Consider the following 20,441-nt stretch of genomic DNA (forward strand, 5'->3'; position numbering starts at 1 on the left):
AGAATGAAAACTGTTAGAATGAGTAAAAGCAGAATTATTTGCATATAAGAGAAAGGGGGAAATAATTTTGTTTGATGTAGGGATAACATAAGACAAATTACATACTTTCCACATGGAAAAATAAAAATAGTATCACATAGTCACTAGTGAGTTTGACCTAATTATAGTGTCAAAATAATTCCCAGTTAGAGGCCCTGACAGGAGACAAGGAAGTGAGGAAATCTCACAGAAAACCTGGTGGCATTTACATTCAGCCCCTAGTACTTAAATGTCCCCTGGAGAAAATACTCCTTAATAGGCAATGAGTAATAAAGGATAGATTAGAAAAAGAAACAGGAATAGATGTGTGGTAGACTTCAGGGGACATTAAAAAAAAAAGAAAAATAATAGCAACCTCAAAATAAATAAGTTCAATATTTAATTTTTACAACATAGATTTCTACCTATTGTGTCATAAAAAATTAAATATAACTAAGACGATATTGATTTTTTTTGAGATGGAGTCACCCAGGCTGGAGTGCAGTGGCACAGTCTCGGCTCACTGCAAGCTCCGCTTCCCAGGTTCACGCCATTCTCCTGCCTCAGCCTCCCGAGTAGCTGGGACTACAGGTGCCCGCTACCATGCCCAGCTAATTTCGTGTTTTTAGTAGAGACGGGGTTTCACCGTGTTAGCCAGGATGGTCTCGATCTCCTGACCTCGTGATCCGCCCATCTCAACCTCCCAAAGTGCTGGGATTACAGCCGTAAGCCACTGCGCCCAGCTATGAAATATATTTTTTAATCTCAATAAAATCTAGCAAGAACCCTGTGTTTCATAAGCCCCTTGTAATTTGATAATGTTTGGAAATAAATCTCTTCAGTCTCTATTTCATATTTGGAAGTTATAGCTCCGAAAGCAGTCTGATCAGGTACAGTGTACTGGAAAGTCAGCTACAAACAGCTTTGTCATCCAGTTTTCTGGAATGTTAAACAGTCTTTGGTAAATCCTAAATGAAGCAAAACAATATTTGTGTAATAGTGACATACTAGAAAGTAAGTGTTTACTAAAACTGTGAATAATATTCTGTGTTAAGGTTAAAAAATTGAATTAGGTATTATGCTTAGATAATTTTACTTTTTTTTTTTTTTTTTTTTTAAGAGTCAGGGTCTTGCTTTGTTGCCCAGGCTGGAGTGTAGTGGCACGATCATAGCTCACTGCAGCTTTGCACTCCTGGGCTCAAGCAATCCTCCCACCTCAGCATCCTGAGTAGGTAGGGCTACAGATAAGTGCCGCCATGCCCAGCTAAAGTTTTGGGTTTGTTTTGTTTTGTTTTGTGGGTTTTCTTTTTTTTTCTTTTTTGTCTTTTTTTTGTAGGGATGGGGTCTCACTATTGCCCAGGCTGGTCTTAAACTCCTGGTCTCAAGTGATCTTCCTGCTCCACTTCCCAAAGTGCTGGAATTACAGGTGTGAGCCACTACTCCCAGCCTTATATAATTTTATTTTAATTAATTAATTAATTAATTTTTTCATTTTTTTGAGACAGGGTCTCTGTCTGTCACCCAGGCTGGAGTGCAGTGGCGTGATCTTGGCTCACTGAAACCTCTGCCTCCCAGGTTCAAGTGATTCTTCCACCTCAGCCTCCTGAGTAGCTGTGACTACAGGCGTATACCACCATGCCCAGCTAATTTTTGTATTTTTTGGTAGAGACAGGGTCTCACCATGTTGGCCAGGCTGGTCTCGAACTCCTGACCTCAAGTGAGCTGCCTGCCCTAGCCTCCCAAAGTGCTGGGATTACAGGTGTGAGTCACTGCACCTGGCCCCCAGCCTTACATAATTTTAAAGTTTTGGGTTTTTAGTTTCCTTCTTGAATGTCTGGTAGGAGGTTTAGAAAATCCTGTTGGGATGCTGAACAATTCTTTATTGCATTTTCTGTGCATTGCAAAATGCCTAGCATCTTTGGCACTTTTCCTCAATAAATGCCAGTAGAGCCCCTAATCATTGTGATGACCAAAAAATAGCCCCCATACAGTTCCAGAATGTCCTGTGTGGGTGATACCTCCCAGTTGAGAGTGATAGTGACTAAATTTATTTTACTGAGTTACAACCTGTAGTTTGAAAAACACACGATCACATGTTGCCTAGCAACATAGATACATTCTGAGATCCATTGTTAAACAATTTCATAATCGTGTGAATATCATAGTGTACTAACACAAACCCCTACTGTACACCTAGGCTATATGGATAGCTTGTTGTTTATCTAAGCTAGAAACCTGCATAATATGTTGCTGTACTCAATACTGTAGGCAGTTATAACACAATGCTATTTGTGGTTCTAAACATACCTAAACATAAAAAAGGTATCAGTAAAAATAAACTTGTGGGACCACCATCATATATGCAGTCCTTCATTGACCTAACCATGGTAGGCTTTGGCATCCTCCTCAAAACAGGTAGAAGAATTGATTATATTAATAACATTATTGCAAATACAAAATTGTTACTTTCCTAGTAGTGATGGATCTACTTCAGTTAGCTTTGTTCTTTACATTCTGGTTTTCAGTCTCCAGTATAAATATTAATGGCCCTACTAAATTCATTTAACCTCCAGTTTAGATGGTACCAGTGTCCTATGAAATATGCAGAAACCCTTTCAAAAGCATTTCAGTTTGTCTTTTAATCTTTGACCATAACGCATGCATTGACAGAGCATTCACTGTACCATCAGAGAATCATCCTTTGAACCACCTGCCTCCTTGTTAGCTTACTTTTTAAAAATAAACTTTTATTTTGGGATAATTTTTGATTTACAGAAAAGTTGCAAAGGTAGTATAGAGACTTCCCATATATTCCTTACCTGGTTTTTCCTAATGTTAATAGTTTGCATTACATTGGTACATTTGGCAAAACTAAGAAACCAACACTAGTACATTATTACTAATAAAGCTCCTGACTTTATTGAGGTCTTAACTGTGTTTTTTTTTTTTCACTAATATCCCTTTTCTGTGTGGGATCCAGGATACCAGGTTGCATTTAGTGTCTCCTGGTTTTGACCTTAGTAGCTACAGAGAACTGAGTGTACTGCCTCTTTGTGATAGCTCTGTATGGAGCTGTGGCATCCCCTCAGTGTTGCCTGTTCCCAGCTCTTTTGCTGAACAGCCCATTTTGTCCTTTAGTAATTTCTCTTGGTGTAGTTTCTAGATACTTTGCCATTCTGTCTATATACTATATATACTAACTATATAACTATATATACTACTGTACTTGTTTCCCATTTTAAAACAAGACACACAGAACTGAATGTAGTTCTTCACATATGGTCTGGCAGAGTAAAATGTTGTAGATATATCACAGTTATGAATCTTGTATGGTTATTAATGCAATCTAAGCTTGCTTGTTTATTTGCTGGCATTTTTAGCAACTGCATCTCATCTTGGGCTAATATTGACGCTAAGGTTTTGCTTAGTTAATTAATCCAGGATTTCTTATCACATGAATTGTTTTATCCAAAGGCAAAACTTTGTACGAAGTCCTTTTAAAATTCATCTTGTTGGCCGGGCGCGGTGGCTCACGCCTGTAATCCCAGCACTTTGGGAGGCCAAGGCGGGCAGATAACGAGGTCAGGAGATTGAGACCATTCTGGCTAACACGGTGAAACCCCGTCTCTACTAAAAAAAAGAAAAAAAAAATTAGCCAGGCGTGGTGGCGGGCACCTGTAGTCCTAGCTACTCGGGAGGCTGAGGCAGGAGAATGGTGCAAACCCTGGAGGCATAGCTTGCAGTGAGCCAAGATCGTGCCAGTGCACTCCAGCCTGGGCGACAGAGTGAGACTCCGTCTCAAAAAAAAAAATAAGTCTTGTTTTACATACCCGTTTGCCTCGCTTCAATCTCTGTTCTGTCATCTAGTATTTTAACTGTTTGTTTTATGCACAAGCTTATAAATGTTTGCTGTCATTTTATTTTTTTTATTTTTAATTTTTTGTTTGTTTGTTTTAAATAGAAACCGGGTCTCCCGATGTTACCCAGGTGGATCTCAAACTCCTGGGCTCTAGGAATCCTCCTGCCTAGGATTACAGGCGTGAGCTACCACACCTGGCCTACTGTCATTTTCTAAGTCACTAATAAAAACATATATAAAATAGGGTCAAGTACAGGACCTTACAGGCCCAAGATAACTGGGCAAATGAAAGAAGATGTAGCAAGCATGTAATTGTGTGAGGAAGCTAAAAAGGGTTAGCATAGGGTAAAGGCCCTGGTTCTGCCTTACAGTAGTCACCCTTTATCTGAGGGGGGACATTTTTCCAAGACCACCCAGTGGATGCCTGAACCTGTGGATAGTACTGAACCCTATGTATCCTGTTATTCATCTGATAACCAGCTGCTAAGTGACTAGTGGGCAGGTATACAGCACAGATACGCCAAGCAAAGGGATGATTCACCTCCGAGTGGGACAGTGCATGATGTCATCACACTATTCAAAACAGTAGGTAGTTTAAAACTTATGAATTGTTTGTCTCTGGAATTTTCCATTTAATATTTTCAGACCACTGTTGACCACGGATAACTGAAACCTCAGAAAGCAAAACTTTGGGGCGGGGCGTGGTGGCTCACACCTGTAATCCCAGCACTTTGGGAGGCCAAGGCGGGCAGATCACGATGTCAGGAGATTGAGACTATCCTGGCTAACATGGTGAAAACCTGCCTCTACTAAAAGTACAAAAAATTAGGCAGGCATGGTGGCGGGCACCTTGTAGTCCCAGCTACTCTGGAGGCTGAGGCAGGAGAATGGCGTGAACCCAGGAGGTGGAGTTTGCAGTGAGCCGAGATCGCGCCACTGCACTCCAGCCTGGGCGACAGAGCAAGACTCCATCTCAAAAAAAAATAATAATAAAAAAAAAGAGAAAGCAAAACTTTGGGTTGGGAGGACTGCAGTATATTCTGACCTGTGGGTGGTGCCTAAGCTAGAACTCTTGCAGAGTGTGAGAACAACTGAATTTTTTGGAGGGGGGCAGGTGGGCACAGGGTCTGTCTTAACTGAGAATGAAGCCAGTTGTGATTCGTAGGATTGTTTGCTTACCCTTTATATTACCGGTCATGCCTCAGTCTTCTATCTTGAGATTTTCATGAGTCTTGCTTGAACTAGGCCTTTTTATGAATGACACTGAAAATTTTGGAGGACTGTAGGCCTATTTATTTATTTATTTATTTATTTTTGAGATGGAGTTTCACTCTTGTCGCCCAGGCTGGAGTGCAGTGGCACAATTTCAGCTCACTGCAACCTCCGCCTCCCGGATTCAAGTGATTCTCCTGCCTCAGCCTCTCAAGTAGCTGGGATTCAGCTCACTCCAGCCTCCGCCTCCCAGGTTCAAGTGATTCTTCTGCCTCAGCCTCCCAAGTAGCTGGGATTACGGGCACCTGCCACCGTGCCCAGCTAATTTCTGTATTTTTAGTAGAGACAGGGTTTCACCACGTTGGCCAGGCTGGTCTTGAACTCCTGACCTCACAAGATCCACCCGCCTCAGCCTCCCAAAGTGCTGGCATTACAGGCATGAGCCGCCGTGCCTGGCCTAAATTTTTATTTTTAATTGACACATCATAATTATACGTATTTCTAGGGTACGTACATGGTGATATTTTGCTTTTTTATTTATTTATTTATTTTTTTTTTGAGACAGAGTCTCACACTGTCTCCCAGGCTGGAGTGCAGTGGCACGATCTCAGCTCACTGCAAGCTCCGCCTATTGGGGTCATGCCATTCTCCTCCCTCAGCCTCCTGAGTAGCTGGGACTACAGGCGCCCACCACCACACCCAACTAATTTTTTGTATTTTTAGTAGAGACAGGGTTTCACCGTGTTAGCCAGGATGGTCTCGAACTCCTGACCTCAGATGATCCACCTGCCTCGGCCTCCCAAAGTGCTGGGATTACAGGCATGAGCCACTGTGCCTGGCCTAACTTTTTTTATTTTTAATTGACACGTGATAATTATACATATTTCTAGGGTACATGGTGATACTTTGCTTTTTTATTTTTTTATTTTTATTTTTTAATAAACTAGAGATGAGGTCTCACTATGTTTCCCAGGATGTTCTCAAACCCTGGCCTTAAATGGTCTTCCCATCTTGGCCTCACAAAATGCTGGGATTATAGGCATAAGCCACCACACCCAGCCCATAGTGATATTTCAGTAAATACATATAGTGTGTAATGACCAGATCTGGGTAATTAGCTTATCTATCACCTCAAACATTTATCACTCATTTGTGTTAAGAGCATTCAAAATCCTCTCTTCCAGCTATTTGAAAATATACAATAAATTATTGTTAACTAAGCATACTTCTTTTATTTACCAAGCATGTATTTGAATGACATACTTCCTCTTCAGTAATGCCTGGTCACATATCAGTTCCTATTTTTCTATTTTTTTTCCCCTCCTACTGGTCTTTTTCTTAATGTTTAGGAGCCCATTGTTATATTTGTTACCGATATTTCTCCCTACTTGTTGTCATTTGAGTTTGTTTATGGAACCTTTTGCCAATATTAAAGTGTTATACTTATTTATGATCAAATTTACAGTGTGCTCCACCCTCCCCTATTTATAGTTTCACTTTCCTTATATTGCTTAGAAAGGCCTTACCCACTAAATATTCTCATTTTCTTTTTTTTTTTTTTTTTTTTTTTGAGATGGAGTCTCGCACTCTCACCCAGGCTGGAGTGCAGTGGCGCCATCTCGGCTCACTGCAAGCTCTGCCTCTCAGGTTCACGCCATTCTCCTGCCTCAGCCTCCCGAGTAGCTGGGACTACAGGCGCCCGCCACCATGCCCGGCTAATTTTTTGTATTTTTAGTAGAGACAGGGTTTCACCGTATTAGGCAGGATGATCTCGATCTTCTGACCTTGTGATCCACCACCTTGGTCTCCCAAAGTGCTGGGATTACAGGCGTGAGCCACCGCGCCCGGCCCTCATTTTCTTTTAAGAAGTTTATGTCTTTTTAAAAAAAATCTAAATAATATTTGCCATTTTAAAGACATATGGCCAGCCAGTTCTTTTCTTTGAGAATGGAATTTTTATGTATGTGTGTGAAATGTGTCATAACATTTAGAAGAGTGTACAAAAGTATGTATCTAGTAAAAAGAGAATAAAACCAACGTCCACACATCCACTACTCATATTAAGAAATAGAACATCTCGGCCAGGCGCGGTGCTCATGCCTGTAATCCCAGCACTTACGGAGGCCAAGGCAGGTGGATCATCTGAGGTCGGGAGTTTGAGACCAGGCTGACCAACATGGAGAAACCCCATCTCCACTAAAAATACAAAATTAGCCAGGCACATGCCTGTAATCCCAGCCACTCAGGAAGGCTGAGGCAGGAGAATCGCTTGGACCCGGGAGCCAGAGGTTGCAGTGAGTCGAGATCGCACCACTGCACTCCAGCCTGGGCAACAAGAGCAAAACTCAGTCTCAAAAAAAAAAAAAAAAAAAAAGAAATAGAACATCTCATCCACATGTCCATATCCACTAACTGGATCTTTGTTTTGATAATCCTCTTCCCTTTCTCTGCAGGTTTACTCCCAGTATATCCATTTCTATCTGAGCCACATATTGTTTAGTTATGAAACATGGAATAGCAAGCCCAGGTCTCACCATGTGAGGAAAGAGCAGTTTGCACTATTAGGTGGAAGCCCTTAGAAGAGAAGCTGAACAGAGTCTGCCTTCGGCTTCCCCGAGTTTCCAAGAGTCTGGAGAAATCATTGGGCAAGGTCACAAATGCACCTTGGAAACTCAGGACCCAACATATATGGAGCGTTTAGCAGGGTTATTGTATGGACCAGCTTGGATTTCCAGCACAGGGGTAGTCAGAGGACTGCCCTTCACTTGGCCCACCTCCAGCTCCCAGGAACAGGTCAGAGGGGGACACTCTCATGGGGTGAAATGAGATCAGCTGAACCTTTTTCCTTAAGGCGAGATCAGGAACTTCGACATCACTTGGGCAGGACCAGCCAAGTCCAGATAAGATACGGGGACTGGGCCCCAGGTACCACTGTGTCCTCAGGTTACAAAGAAAATGTATGATATTGTGTGATTTTATGTATGTATGTGTAATTAATTCTTGTTATAGGTGCTAATTGTGTTTTTCTTGTTGTTGTTTTTGAGACAGAGTCTCGTCACCCAGTCTGGAGTGCAATGGCGTGATCTCACTGCAACCGCCACCTCCTGGGTTCAAGTGATTCTCCTGCCTCAGCCTCCCAAGTAGCTGGGATTACAGGCACTGCCACCACGCCTGGCTAATTTTTTTGTATTTTTAGTAGAGATGGGGTTTCACCATGTTGACCAGGCTGGCTTTGAACTCCTGACCTCAAGTGATCCACCCATCTTGACCTCCCAAAGTGCTGGGATTACAGGCGTGAGCCACCGTGCCCAGCCGCTAGTTGTGTTCTATAAAGTTTACATGAACACCAAGTTAGCAATTACTGAACCTCTGTTCCTAGAGGAATCTCAGGGTGAGGTTCCTCTGAGCCTCTGGTTATAACATTTTTTCGATGGATCAATACGTAACCTTGTTTTATGTGTATTTCTGCTAAAATACATCACATATTATATTATATATGATATATATTATATATCATATATAATATATAATATGATATATAATATATATAATATATAATATGATATATATATCATATATAATATATAATATGATATATAATATATAATATATATTATATATCATATGATATATTATATATGATATATATTATATATCATATTATATATTATGTGATATATATGATATATACATCATATATCTGAGATATATGTTACATGATATATATCTCATATATCTTATATATATTTAGCAGCATTTCAGCACTACACTTGGGAGCCATTTAAATAGCGAAACTACCAAGAAACAGCACAAAAAGGTGAAAACATGGGACTAAATAGACCATGAAAACGACACTTGTTTACAAAATGAGAGCTGAAAGAAGGAGGCAGAGCATTGCTTTGTTGGACCTGAGCTGGAAACATGCGTATCAAGCCACTCAACTTTCATGCTGCTCTGTGCCTGTTTTCAGTCGCTCACTGGAAAGACTGAAAGCACTGCAAGTATTGACATGTACTCTTTTTTTTTTTTTTTTGGAGACAGGGTCTTGCTTTGTCTACCAGGCTGGAGTGCAGTGGCTCAATCTCACCTCACTGCAACCTCTGCCTCCCGGGCTCAGGCAGTCCTCCCCCGCTCAGTCTCTCAAATAGCTGGCAGTTTTTTTGTAGATAGGAGGTCTTACTATATCGCCCTGGTTGGTCTCAAACTCTTGGGCTCTAGCAGTCTTCCCACCTTGGCCTCCCAAAGTACTGAGATTATAAGTGTGAGCCACCATGCCCAGCCTTGATGCGTACTTTTGTATGTATATGTTATGGTTTGGCTCTGTATCCCCACCCAAATCCCATCTCAAATTGTAATCCTCATATGTCAGTGGGAGGTGATTGAATCATGGGGGCAGACTTCCCCCTTGCTGTTCTTGAGATAGTAAGTTCTCATGAGATCTGGTTGTTTGAAAGTGTGTGGCACTTCCCCTTTCGTGCTGTCTCTCTCCTGCTCCACCATTGTGAAGTAGGTGTCTGCTTCCCCTTCACCTTCTGCCATGATTGTAAGTTTCCTGAGGCCTCCCAGTCATGCATCCTGTTAAACCTGCAGAACTGTGAGTCAGTCAAACCTCTCTTCTTCATAAATTACCCAGTCTCAGGTAGTTCTTTATACTAGTGTGAAAATGGACTAATACAGGAAATTGGTGCCAAGAAAGTGGGACATTGCTGTACAGATGCCCTTTCAGTGAGGTCGTGCTGTACAGGGGCTCTTTCAGCCTGGCAATTCCTATTCTCTGTTCTGGAAAGTTTTCTTGAATTACTCTGTTGGTTATTTCCTCCCTTCCATTTTTCTTACTTTGAGGATATTGAAGCTTCTAGAGTAGGGTTCCAGTTTTCTTCCATGTTCTGATTTCTGTCTCTTTCTCTCTTCCCCCCTCTTCTTTCTTTTTTCTGTTTCTGGAAATGATATACTTACTTAATCCCTCTGTTTTCAATAAAATATGCACTTTATTCCGTTTTCAACGATGCCTTGAGTTCCTGGGGGTCAGAGACCCTCTTTAATGAATAAACTTCTACTTTCCACTTGAAGTGCAGCATAATGTTGAAGAAGCAACTTAGAAATTTAACTGCTTCTTAAAGACCTTTTATCCATCTTCTATCCTTCAGCAGTTCTTCACCCTAACTAGGGTTCCAGCAATGTTGCTGCCAGTCCCAGACATTTTGTTGAATTTGCTTTGTAAATTGGATTCTTAGCTTTCCCCTTTGCCCATACTGGGATTCAGTTCTTTCCAGTCTCCTAATTCAGTTACCTAATTCTGCTTTTCACATCCAGAATTGTATTCCTGTTGTTTCTTTTTATTCTCTTCATCCTTTTGAAATTGTCTTTTATTTCAATTTCAATACAAAATTTTAAGAGTTTCAGAAAGCAACAAAATGAGATCTTACCTTAAGACTGCTCTTGGCCGGGCGTGGTGGCTCACCCCTGTAATCCCAGCACTTTGGGAGGCTGAGGTGGGATCAGTTTAGGCCAGGAGTTCAAGACCAGCCTGGGCAACGTAGTGAAACCCCGTCTCTGCTAAAAACACAAAAATTAGCTGGGTGTAGTGGTGCACACCTGTAACCCTAGCTACTTGGGTGGCTGAGGCATGAGAATTGCTTGAACCAGGGCATCAGAGGCTGCAGTTAGCCTAGATTGCCTCACTGTACTCCAGCCTGGGTGACCAAATTGAGACTGTCTTCAATAAAAAAGACTGTTCTAGACCTTATTTTCACAAAATTATGGCTCAGTCTCTCAAATGTCATTGTCCGGTGCACCACTATCCAGTGCAGTAGCCACCAGCCACATGAGCACTTGAAATGTGGCCAGTGCAATTGAGGAACTGAATTTTTAGTTTAATTTTAGCAGATTACATTTAAATAGTGACATGTGCCTAGTGGCTACCATATTGGACAGCATACTTCTAGTACCAGTGAAGTAAGGAGCTGGAATGTAATTTCTAGTCAGTCTCTACCACTAGGAAGATTTTTTTTCTGCTTCCTTCTTCTGATTTATTTATTCCTTTATATCAGTATGGAGTCGTGGATTCCTGTGTTATTCAGTGAGTTATAATCTATTACTTTTTTTTTTTTTTTTGAGACGGAGTCTCACTGTGTCATCAAGCTGGAGTGCAGTGGCATAATCTCAGCTCACTGCAACCTCCACCTCCCGGGTTCAAGCAATTCTTCTTCCTCAGCCTCCCGAGTAGCTGGGACTATAGGCGCATGCCACCACGCCCAGCCAATTTTTATATTTTTAGTAGAAGTGGGGTTTCACCGTGTTGGCCATGATGGTCTCGATCTCTTGACCTTGTGATGTGCCTGCCTCACTTCCCAAAGTGCTTGGATTACAGACGTGAGCCACCGTGCCCGGCCAGTCTATTACTTTTATTATTTATCTTGATGCTCAAATTGTCCCAGGTTTGGCTGGTGAAACCCCTTTAAGGTTTCTTCTGTGTACTTTTGATATGTCCCCATCTTTCTTCATTAGTCATTTCTAGATGATTCATTTTAGAACTGGATATATTACAGGCTCATGTATTTGCCCTGCCCAACCCATAGAATCCTTCATTTCTGTGAGGAACCCTGGTTCCTCTTAGTGGAGGATGCTGTTTAGACTTACTTGGTGCTTGCTTGGTGTACTTATTGTATCACTGCTTCTGGGCCCTGTCACCTGACAAGGCATTTTAATTGCTAATGGCTATTATTGGACAGTACAGATGTAAAACCATCATTGCAAAAAAGGAAAAACTTGAGTTACTAGAATTTAGGAGTTCAAAGGCCCACCTGCACATCTCCACACAGTTGGTATTTGGCCTTCTGAGCAGGATGCAACTAGCTGGTGATGAGAGTGCCTGAAGACGCTAGTATTGGAGCTCTGGATGGAAGAAGACCTGCTGCCAGAAAGATGCTGACCTCTTCCCATTTTTTTTTGTCCCTCTGAAGCCTCCCATTGGCAGAGTGTAAACCGGAAGCAAGCTGCTAAGGGATTCTGAATAAATGAGTTGGCAGATCCTAGACCATGGTTTCTCAGCCTTGGCATCGTAGACATTTTGGGCCAGGGGGCTGTCCTGTGTTTTGTAGGATGTTTAGTAACATTCTTAGCCTCCCTGAAATTGATGCCATTAGCCCTCCCTGTCCCGCTAATAGTTAGAACTGAGAGTGTCTCCATACATTGCTAAGTGACCCCTAGGGGGCAACATGGCCACTGGTTGAGACCCATTTCCTAGACCCAGCAGAAGGGGCTTGGAGCTGAGAAACAGTAGTAATAACTAACCATCGACCAACTTTACTTCAAGTGTTCTTGAAATGTAGAGGAAGGGCAAAGGGATTATGTTTATGGGCCTGTGATGGTCCTGTAATGTAGAGAGATGATGCTTTTTCTTTTTCTTTTTCATTGACGAGGAAAGCAAAGATCAGGTAAGCAATCTCTATAGCCAGGCAAGAGTCAACTCCTGATAAAGTTGGTATTTGTTTACATGCTCTTAAAGTGTGTTGTTGAATTTTCTGGATTGGAGTTATTACCATACTATTTTTTCATGAGTGAACTGTTTTTTGTGTGTTGCATTTCAGTCATTCTTGATGCATTGTTAATGAATATTAAAGCCAGTGTTTAAAAACTTTTAAATTTTGTATAATTATACTGTATTTGTATACCTTGGTTTGAGATTCACATCAAACTGTATAAGCACTATCCATTTTCCTCATTTTATGTTTATGCTTAGTCCCTTCCTTCTTTCTTTTCCGTATTACCGTATATCACTCTCAGTGATACAAAGACATCCTTTCTCAGAGAAAGTCTCCCAAAGATCAGTTCATCCTAACCAACTGTTTACTGTACCTTTCAGCTTGCATGTCTTATCACTTCAAACCAAACATGTCTAAAATCAGACTCACATGCCTCCTAAACCAGACATAAACCACAACTCTTTTCCGCCAGTGCTAGAGTATTCTCTATACTTTGTATTAATTATTCCTACTCCTATACAGAGCTTTATGTTTGTTGTAGGTCCCTTTATTTTAAAATCCGTGAAGAAACTGGAGCAGACATAAAGAAATGTAATTTAACAGTTGACGGTAGGATTTTGGAGGACTTGCTAACATTTTAAATTGGTTAGCCTACAAAACAGGGGAAAGTGACTTAGTTCATGTTTGTGGTGAGTTTTTGAGACTGGATTTAGGATAACTGCTCTATATGTGGAGAACATTAGAACAAAGGGACCTGAAGTTATATTTCAGTGTCTTAGCGAGGATTTCAGGAACTGCTTGGTATGAAGAGTTGTGTCAGGGTGAGTCTGTTGTACTTCCCCAGCTAGAACAAGTCATCTTTCATCATTTTCATATGTTTGGCTTTGTTTCTGTAGGTCTCTATCCCTTAGTCTTCATACTGTTTTAAATGCTTATTTACTTATCCTTATTCCCCATTTAGGCTCTAAGCACTAAGTGGGTACTGCAAGTGCTCAAAAATTTTGGTTGCTAGAAATAGTAGTGTTAAGTCAATGAGAAATGGTCTTAAAATATAGACCCAGGGCAGATCTTTTCCCACCTCAGTACAATGAGCTGTCATGTGCCTTACTTGACTGGGAATCTATCACAAATACATGTGCAGACATTTCTAGTTTAGATAACATTAAAAAAACATTTAGCGAACAGTATGTATTCTGCTCCCTCCTTATACATCTTGCAGTACATTAAGGATTTCCAGTTTTCCTTTCCCTCAAACAGTTGCAGAAAGTCAGTATAAGAGTGTTTAGACCGGGCGCAGTGGCTCATGCTTGTAATCCCAGCACTTTGGGAGGCCGAGGTGGGCGGATCACGAGGCCGGTAGTTCGAGACCAGCCTGGCCAGCATGGTGAAACCCCGTCTCTACTAAAAGTACAAAAATTAGCCAGGCATGGTGGCACGCACTTGTAATCCCAGCTACTCGGGAGGCTGAGGTAGGAGAATCACTTGACCGCGGGAGGCAGAAGTGTCAGTGAGCCGAGATCACACCACTGTGCTCCAGCCTGGGCGACAGAGCGAGACTCTGTCTCAAAAAAAAAAAAGAATGTTTAAACAGTAGACCAAAAAATCCTAGGCAGGGGTGGGGGAGGGGAGACATTAAATGTGTTTCCCCCCTTTCATTGTTTGAAATGACATTATTCTCTTAACATGTAGTGTGTCTTTTTCAGGCCAGAGGTCCCTGTTGCTGTGCATATATTATTAGCCGAGTATATGATGGGAAGGCTTTCTAAACAGCTCTTAGACCCTGTTTTCAGTGCTCAGTGGTACACAGTCTTTGCATTGCCTGTAAGTTGTGCCTGTAATTTTCAAAAAGTTGAGAAAACACTACTCTAGAGTAAGAACTTAAAATAGTGACTTTAAGTAGAGTTTTGTTTGGTGATAAACCTCTGAAAATAAATATCTGTAAGCACCTGCCTCAAGAGTAATTCCTCAATCTCAGGATTTCATTCCAGAGAAGTTGTGTAATTAGTAGAATCTTCTTAAAAAATAAGAAGTCAAGGGAAAAACAATAAACAATGTGTTAAATATATATCTCCGTATCATAATAAATAAAGTTCTGAAGGCATCTACTTCTGGGGAAAAAAGGATTATTATCAAAAGATATGCTTCAGTAGGCAACCCTTTATCTTAATCACTGGTTTGCCATGTAATGGCTCTTTGCCTTTGGAGCAAATTACTTAGTGCCTGTGTGCCTCAGTTTATCCATCTGTAAAAGAATCAACAGTTCAGTGACTAGGTCTTTAGCAGATTAAAAATCATCACCTTCCCTTAAAAGGGCTTTTCTTTTTTTGGGAAAGTTGGAGCCTAAACCAAGCTCTCTCTGCCTTGCTGCCACAGACCTGTCTGCAGAATTTTCAAAACAGAGCAGTTTCTATCTAGTGTGCATTGTTTAAAGCAACTAAACTGAATTGCACATGTATATGGAAATACTGGCGCGCGCGTGCGTGCGTGCGTGCGTGTGTGTGTGTGTGTGTGTGTGTTTTTAAATAGAGATGAGGTCTTGCTATGTTGCCCAGGCTGGTCTCAAACTCCTGGGCTCAAGCAGTCCTCCTGCCTCAGCCTCCCAAAGTGTTTCCCTCAGCCTCCCAAAGCCACCTGTTTCCCACTAACCACCCTATTGCATGTTAAAACTTGCAACCTGGGTCTCCTGGGCTATTGTTGCCACCTGGTGGCTTACTCCTAGAGGTATTTGGTACAGCATTTTTATCTACTTTTTTCTCCTGTAGAAAACAAGTACTTGTTCAGGGCCTTCTTTTTCCCCCCTCTACTTTCATTATTCAGTAATTCTTCTGTCAAGAAGTCTTATACCAAGGAGGCGGAGGTTGCAGTGAGCCGAGATCGCGCCACTGCACTCCAGCCTGGGCGACAGAGTGAGACTCCATCTCAAAAAAAAAAAAAAAAAAAAAAAGTCTGTTATAGACACACATTAATCCCCCCCGCTTTCCCTTCTCTCTTTTTGAGCTCTTATCTAATTACTCTAGGAAAACGTCCCCTTCTTTTCATTTGCTTAATTCATTCAACAGATATTATTGAATTCCCACATTGTCCCAGGCACTCTTTATCCACCTCCTCTTCCTTCATTTTATGAGTCAGAAAACAGCTCTAATCATGGCTGAGTATAATAGTAGATTGAGTAATATAGAAGCTCCTCTATTTCCAGATAAGAGGCTCTGAAAGGCTGTTCCTAAGCTCACTCATGAGCAAGTCCATTGTTGCTAAGATAAGTTTCTGTTTTCAGAACAGGGATGCATTTCTATGAACAAATAAAAGAGTGTAGATCAGTTCTTTAAAATGAGGCAAACCAATCAGTTATTCCAAAGTGGACCAAGTTCCTCTATACTGAAAACTTTTAGAAATGAATTAAACTTCCCTCTTTCACAAAGTTCATAAAGAACTCTTTAAATACAATATTTCACCCATTTTTCTATTCACTTTGTTGGGCAGATTTGAACCAGCTTTAAATCATCTGTAGCCACAAAAGAAGTTTTATCACACTTTCCACCTACCTCATGACTTTGTGAAGATTGACAAAGTAATATATGTAAGTCATTAGGTACATAATTAAAAGTGAAGGAACTTGCTATTAAACCACTAGAGGGACGACCTCTGTGTGGCAAGAATTTTTATTCACTGCTGTGTCCTCAGCAAATATTTTTGTTCACTGCTGTATCTTGGCATATAATAAATAATAAATAATGAAAGGATGGGTGGATGCTCCTTGTTGTTACATATCACAGGACTCACAGAATTCTACCTGGAAAAAAAAAGTAGAAAAGCCGATTTCCAGTCAGAAAGGGTTGTTTTAAATGTTTTAAATGCTGAATGAATGTATCAGTTTCAAGTAAGACTACTGCGTGAAGACTACACATATTGCAAAACCTACTTACTAAGCTTCCCGGTTCTCTTTCTTCTGGATCTTGCTCCTGGATCATGCTCTCCCCCTATTTCATTTCTCTTTCTCTGCTGTGGAATCTCTTTAGCCATAGGTTTTCTCTTGAAGAGTGTGTTTGTACGGGTCTCGATACCCCATTTCTCTCTCCTCTTGAGTCTGTCCCTTAAACACAGGGCATAGGTTTTTAAAAATATGCGTATATAGAGTTATATGTATATTTAATAGATCTTTTTATTCTCTTCCTATTTCTAAAAATAACTAAGGAAAGCTCTCTAAAAAAAAACAGACAAACCCTAGAGTTTCTTTTTATTTTGGCAAGGGATGATTTATATTTCCTCTGTGATTCTTAAGTAGAAGATGAAACAGCTCTCCACTCCTGATCTAGGCTCCCAGTTTATGAAGCATTATAAACTTTGTCTTAGATTTCCTTTCTCCAGCAGTTTCACATCTGGAAGTATCCTTTGACCATTTTCTTTAAGCAAAATAATTCTGGTTACTTCTGCTTTTCACTGAGTTACTTATACTATAGTTTATCTTTTTTTTTTTTTTTGAGACAGAGTCTCGCTTTTTCACTCAGGCTGGAGCACATTGGCACAATTTTGGCTCACTGCAACCTCCACCTCCTGGATTCAAGTGATTCTGCCTCAGTCTCCCGAGTAACTGGGATTACAGGCACCCGCCATCACACCCAGCTAATTTTTGTATCTTTAGTAGAGACGAGGTTTCACAATGTTGGCCAGGCTGGTCTCGAACCCCTGACCTTAGGTGATCCACCCATCTCAGGCGTGAGCCACTGCGCCCAGCCTAGTTCATCTTTTTTACTTGCTTTTGTATTCATCTAAGATCCTCTTCTTTTTTTTTTTTTTTTTTTTTTTGAGATGGAGTCTCGCTCTGTCGCCCAGGCGGGACTGCGGACTGCAGTGGCGCAATCTCGGCTCACTGCAAGCTCCGCTTCCCGGGTTCACGCCATTCTCCTGCCTCAGCCTCCCGAGTAGCTGGGACTACAGGCGCCCGCCACTGCGCCCGGCTAATTTTTTTTGTATTTTTAGTAGAGACGGGGTTTCACCTTGTTAGCCAGGATGGTCTCGATCTCCTGACCTCATGATCCACCCGCTTCGGCCTCCCAAAGTGCTGGGATTACAGGCGTGAGCCACCGCGCCCGGCCATCTAAGATCCTCTTCTAAGGGTTGCACAATTTTTCAACTGCTTAAATGCAGAGTCTCTTCTTGGAGATTGTCTATCATTTAATAGTATTGTTCTCTGTATAGTTCTCAGTATCAAAATTATATAGCCTATATGATACACACCGTTTTTTAAAAAAAGTCACACTTGGAGAGATGCAAGGGCCTTGAAGAGATAATACACAGACATTTCACAGAATAGAAAAGAGGCCCTCCCTCCCTCCACCCCACCCCCCCAAATCACATGATAGCTAGAAGTCAAAATCGGCTGTCAATGGCAAGTGCTATATAATCCCAGGCCTTCAAATTCCAAATGAGGTCGACTTCCTGTTGTATTCTTTTTTCCCTGTGTTTCTTGAAAGTAACTTGCCCTTTGTTGACCTTTTCTTTCCCATCAACTCTCTATTCCCTAGCTAAAAACTAATTTTATTAAAAAGTAAAAGGTATACCAACCTGAGATTTTCTCCTTTAAAAAGCTGTAAACGAATATTAAAAACCTCTTTTATTTTTATTTTTTTAATAAGAAAGAAAAGACTACGTATTATTTCAGTGGCTTTTTAAAAATGTGTTCCCACTAGAGGGCATCCTTTTCTCCTTAAAATTTTAGTTCATAGCTTTCATTTGTTTTACAGAACTGCTAAATACAAGATATATGCTGATAATATGAATGTGTTCAGATATAACTTTTTCAGATAGGTGGTTGTCAGATATACACCATTTTTTTCATTTAGGTTTTATCTGTGACAGTGTTGAAAAAGGGGTTAAACTGTATGTCCTAGCATTTTCATTTATCTTGCTAGGTGAACTTGATTGGATGGGGGATTACAAATATAACACCGTAACCTTATGATGTAGCTTGTTCAAGTTAGCATTTTACAAACTAGTGATTTCTGAACTTCTTTATGACACAGTATGACTAAGCTAGATTTTTTTTTTTTTTTTTTTTTTGAGACGGAGTCCCGCTCTGTCACCAGACTGGAGTGCAGTGCGCAAACTCGGCTCACTGCAACCTCTGCCTCCCAGGTTCAAGCGATTCTCTTTCCTCAGCCTCCCGAGTACATGGGATTACAGGCACAGGCCAGCACGCCAGGCTAATTTTTGTATATTTAGTAGAGATGGGGTTTTGCCATGTTGGCCAGGCTGGTCTCGAACTCCTGACCTCAGGTGATCTGCCCGCTTCGGCCTCCCAAAGCCCTGGGATTACAGGCATGAGCCACTGCACCCAGCCATGACTAAGCTAGATTATTCAGTGATGGGTTGCACATGTTATTATTTGGTTAACTCAGTTTTTGCAGAATATATGTAGTATAAGGTAAATGAAACCTAAATATTTTTTAATGTAATGGATGTCAGTGCTATCTAGACAACTAGTGGTTATTCAGCTTTGCCTCTCAAGGCATTATTTTACAATATTTGAACTCTTGTTTCTGTTATAATACTTTTCAGAACTTTGATTTTTTTTTTTTTTTTTTTTTTTTTTTGAGACAGAGTCTCGCTCTGTCGCCCAGGCTGGAGTGCAGTGGCGTGATCTTGGCTCACTGCAACCTCGACCTCCCAGCTAATTCTTGTATTTTTAGTAGAGATGGGATTTCACCATGTTGACCAGGCTGGTCTTGAACTCCTGACCACAGGTGATCCGCCCACCTCGGCCTCCCAAAGTGCTGGGATTACAGGCGTGAGCCACCACGCCCAGCCAGAACTTTGATTTTTTAATATCTTAAATAGAGTGTACTGATATCTCATCAGAAGCAACTTCATTCTTCCTGTGAAGGAATTGATAGTTTTACATATGCCATGTATCTGTTCTGTTTCAGATTTCTCTGACTTCCTGATACCAGGTAAAATCACTATTGTTAAACCAAGGGACTGCAGCAAAGAGCTAACTTATTTCCTCCCATAGGAACTTTAGATTACCTGTAGTTGACAGTAGTGGAGCAGGTTTTGTTAGTCTGTGTCATAAAATGACACAGATTCTGACACATATACTTAGGAGGGCCTCTGTATTGAGTGAGAGTCATTCTAAAGGGGACAATGGGCTACTGTTGAGAAACTGAAAAAGCCTGTGCTTCTGTACTTTTATTTAGAGACTTAGGTAGTATGGAATGTTCTATAAAATTAAATATTAACTTCAAAAAGTTCATGACAACAGAAGGAATTAAAGGACAGAGCTTTCATAAACTAAACAATGAGAAAGGATGATAGCAGGCTATATGGAAAAACTGTATGTTATAAAACATTTTTACTTCCCTCGACTTCTTATTCATAGTATGCTAATCACCAAAAAACCCTCTGTAGCATGCCTGCCACATAGATTATTATTAATAAAGTGAATCTTATGTTGTAAGAAACCCTGCTGTAAACTTACCTGTTTGACTTAAATATATATGTGTGTGTGTATATATATGTATATATGTGTGTGTATATATACATATACGTGTATATATATACGTATATATGTGTGTGTATATATACATACGTATATATATACGTATGTATATATGTATCTGTATTTGAAATACTGACCTTGAATCATAAAAGGCCTTTCGGTGTTTGAGAAGCTAAAATATATATATTACAGAAATGATTTTATCAAAAATAGATAGTAAATTTAAAAAAAACCCTGTTTCCTTTTTAAAGGGCTTACAGTTACGGAACTCTAGCTGGGTTTAAGTGAAGCCTGAGGCTACCACCCCCTATCCCTTATGTGAACCATTTAGGTAGCTTTGAATTAAATCACAAGAGTAGAGCGAGCAAGGGAT

General features: G+C 40.7%; 1 protein-coding gene across 3 annotated transcripts in view, besides 1 other annotated feature; it reads left to right on the forward strand.

The window, feature by feature from the left end:
* The window catches only part of KCMF1 (potassium channel modulatory factor 1), an 88,312-nt gene that overhangs the window by 28,499 nt on the left and 39,372 nt on the right, over window positions 1-20,441 (forward strand). Inside the window, exon 2 of one of the 3 annotated variants that reach the window (XM_047445126.1) lies at window positions 14,277-14,394. The exons of the other annotated variants lie outside the window; for them this stretch is intronic. The gene's annotated coding sequence lies outside the window, so the exon portion shown is untranslated. The remainder of the gene's footprint in view (window positions 1-14,276; window positions 14,395-20,441) is intronic. 3 annotated transcript variants of the gene reach the window in all.
* Window positions 9,566-9,615: an enhancer, noted in NCBI's record as "active region_16115". NCBI's record gives its function as "activates an Ori minimal core promoter by ATAC-STARR-seq in GM12878 lymphoblastoid cells {active_cell/tissue: GM12878}" and the evidence as "EXISTENCE:reporter gene assay evidence [ECO:0000049][PMID:35858748]".

This window comes from Homo sapiens, chromosome 2, assembly GCF_000001405.40.
Source record: "Homo sapiens chromosome 2, GRCh38.p14 Primary Assembly".
NCBI classification, from domain to species: domain Eukaryota; kingdom Metazoa; phylum Chordata; class Mammalia; order Primates; family Hominidae; genus Homo; species Homo sapiens.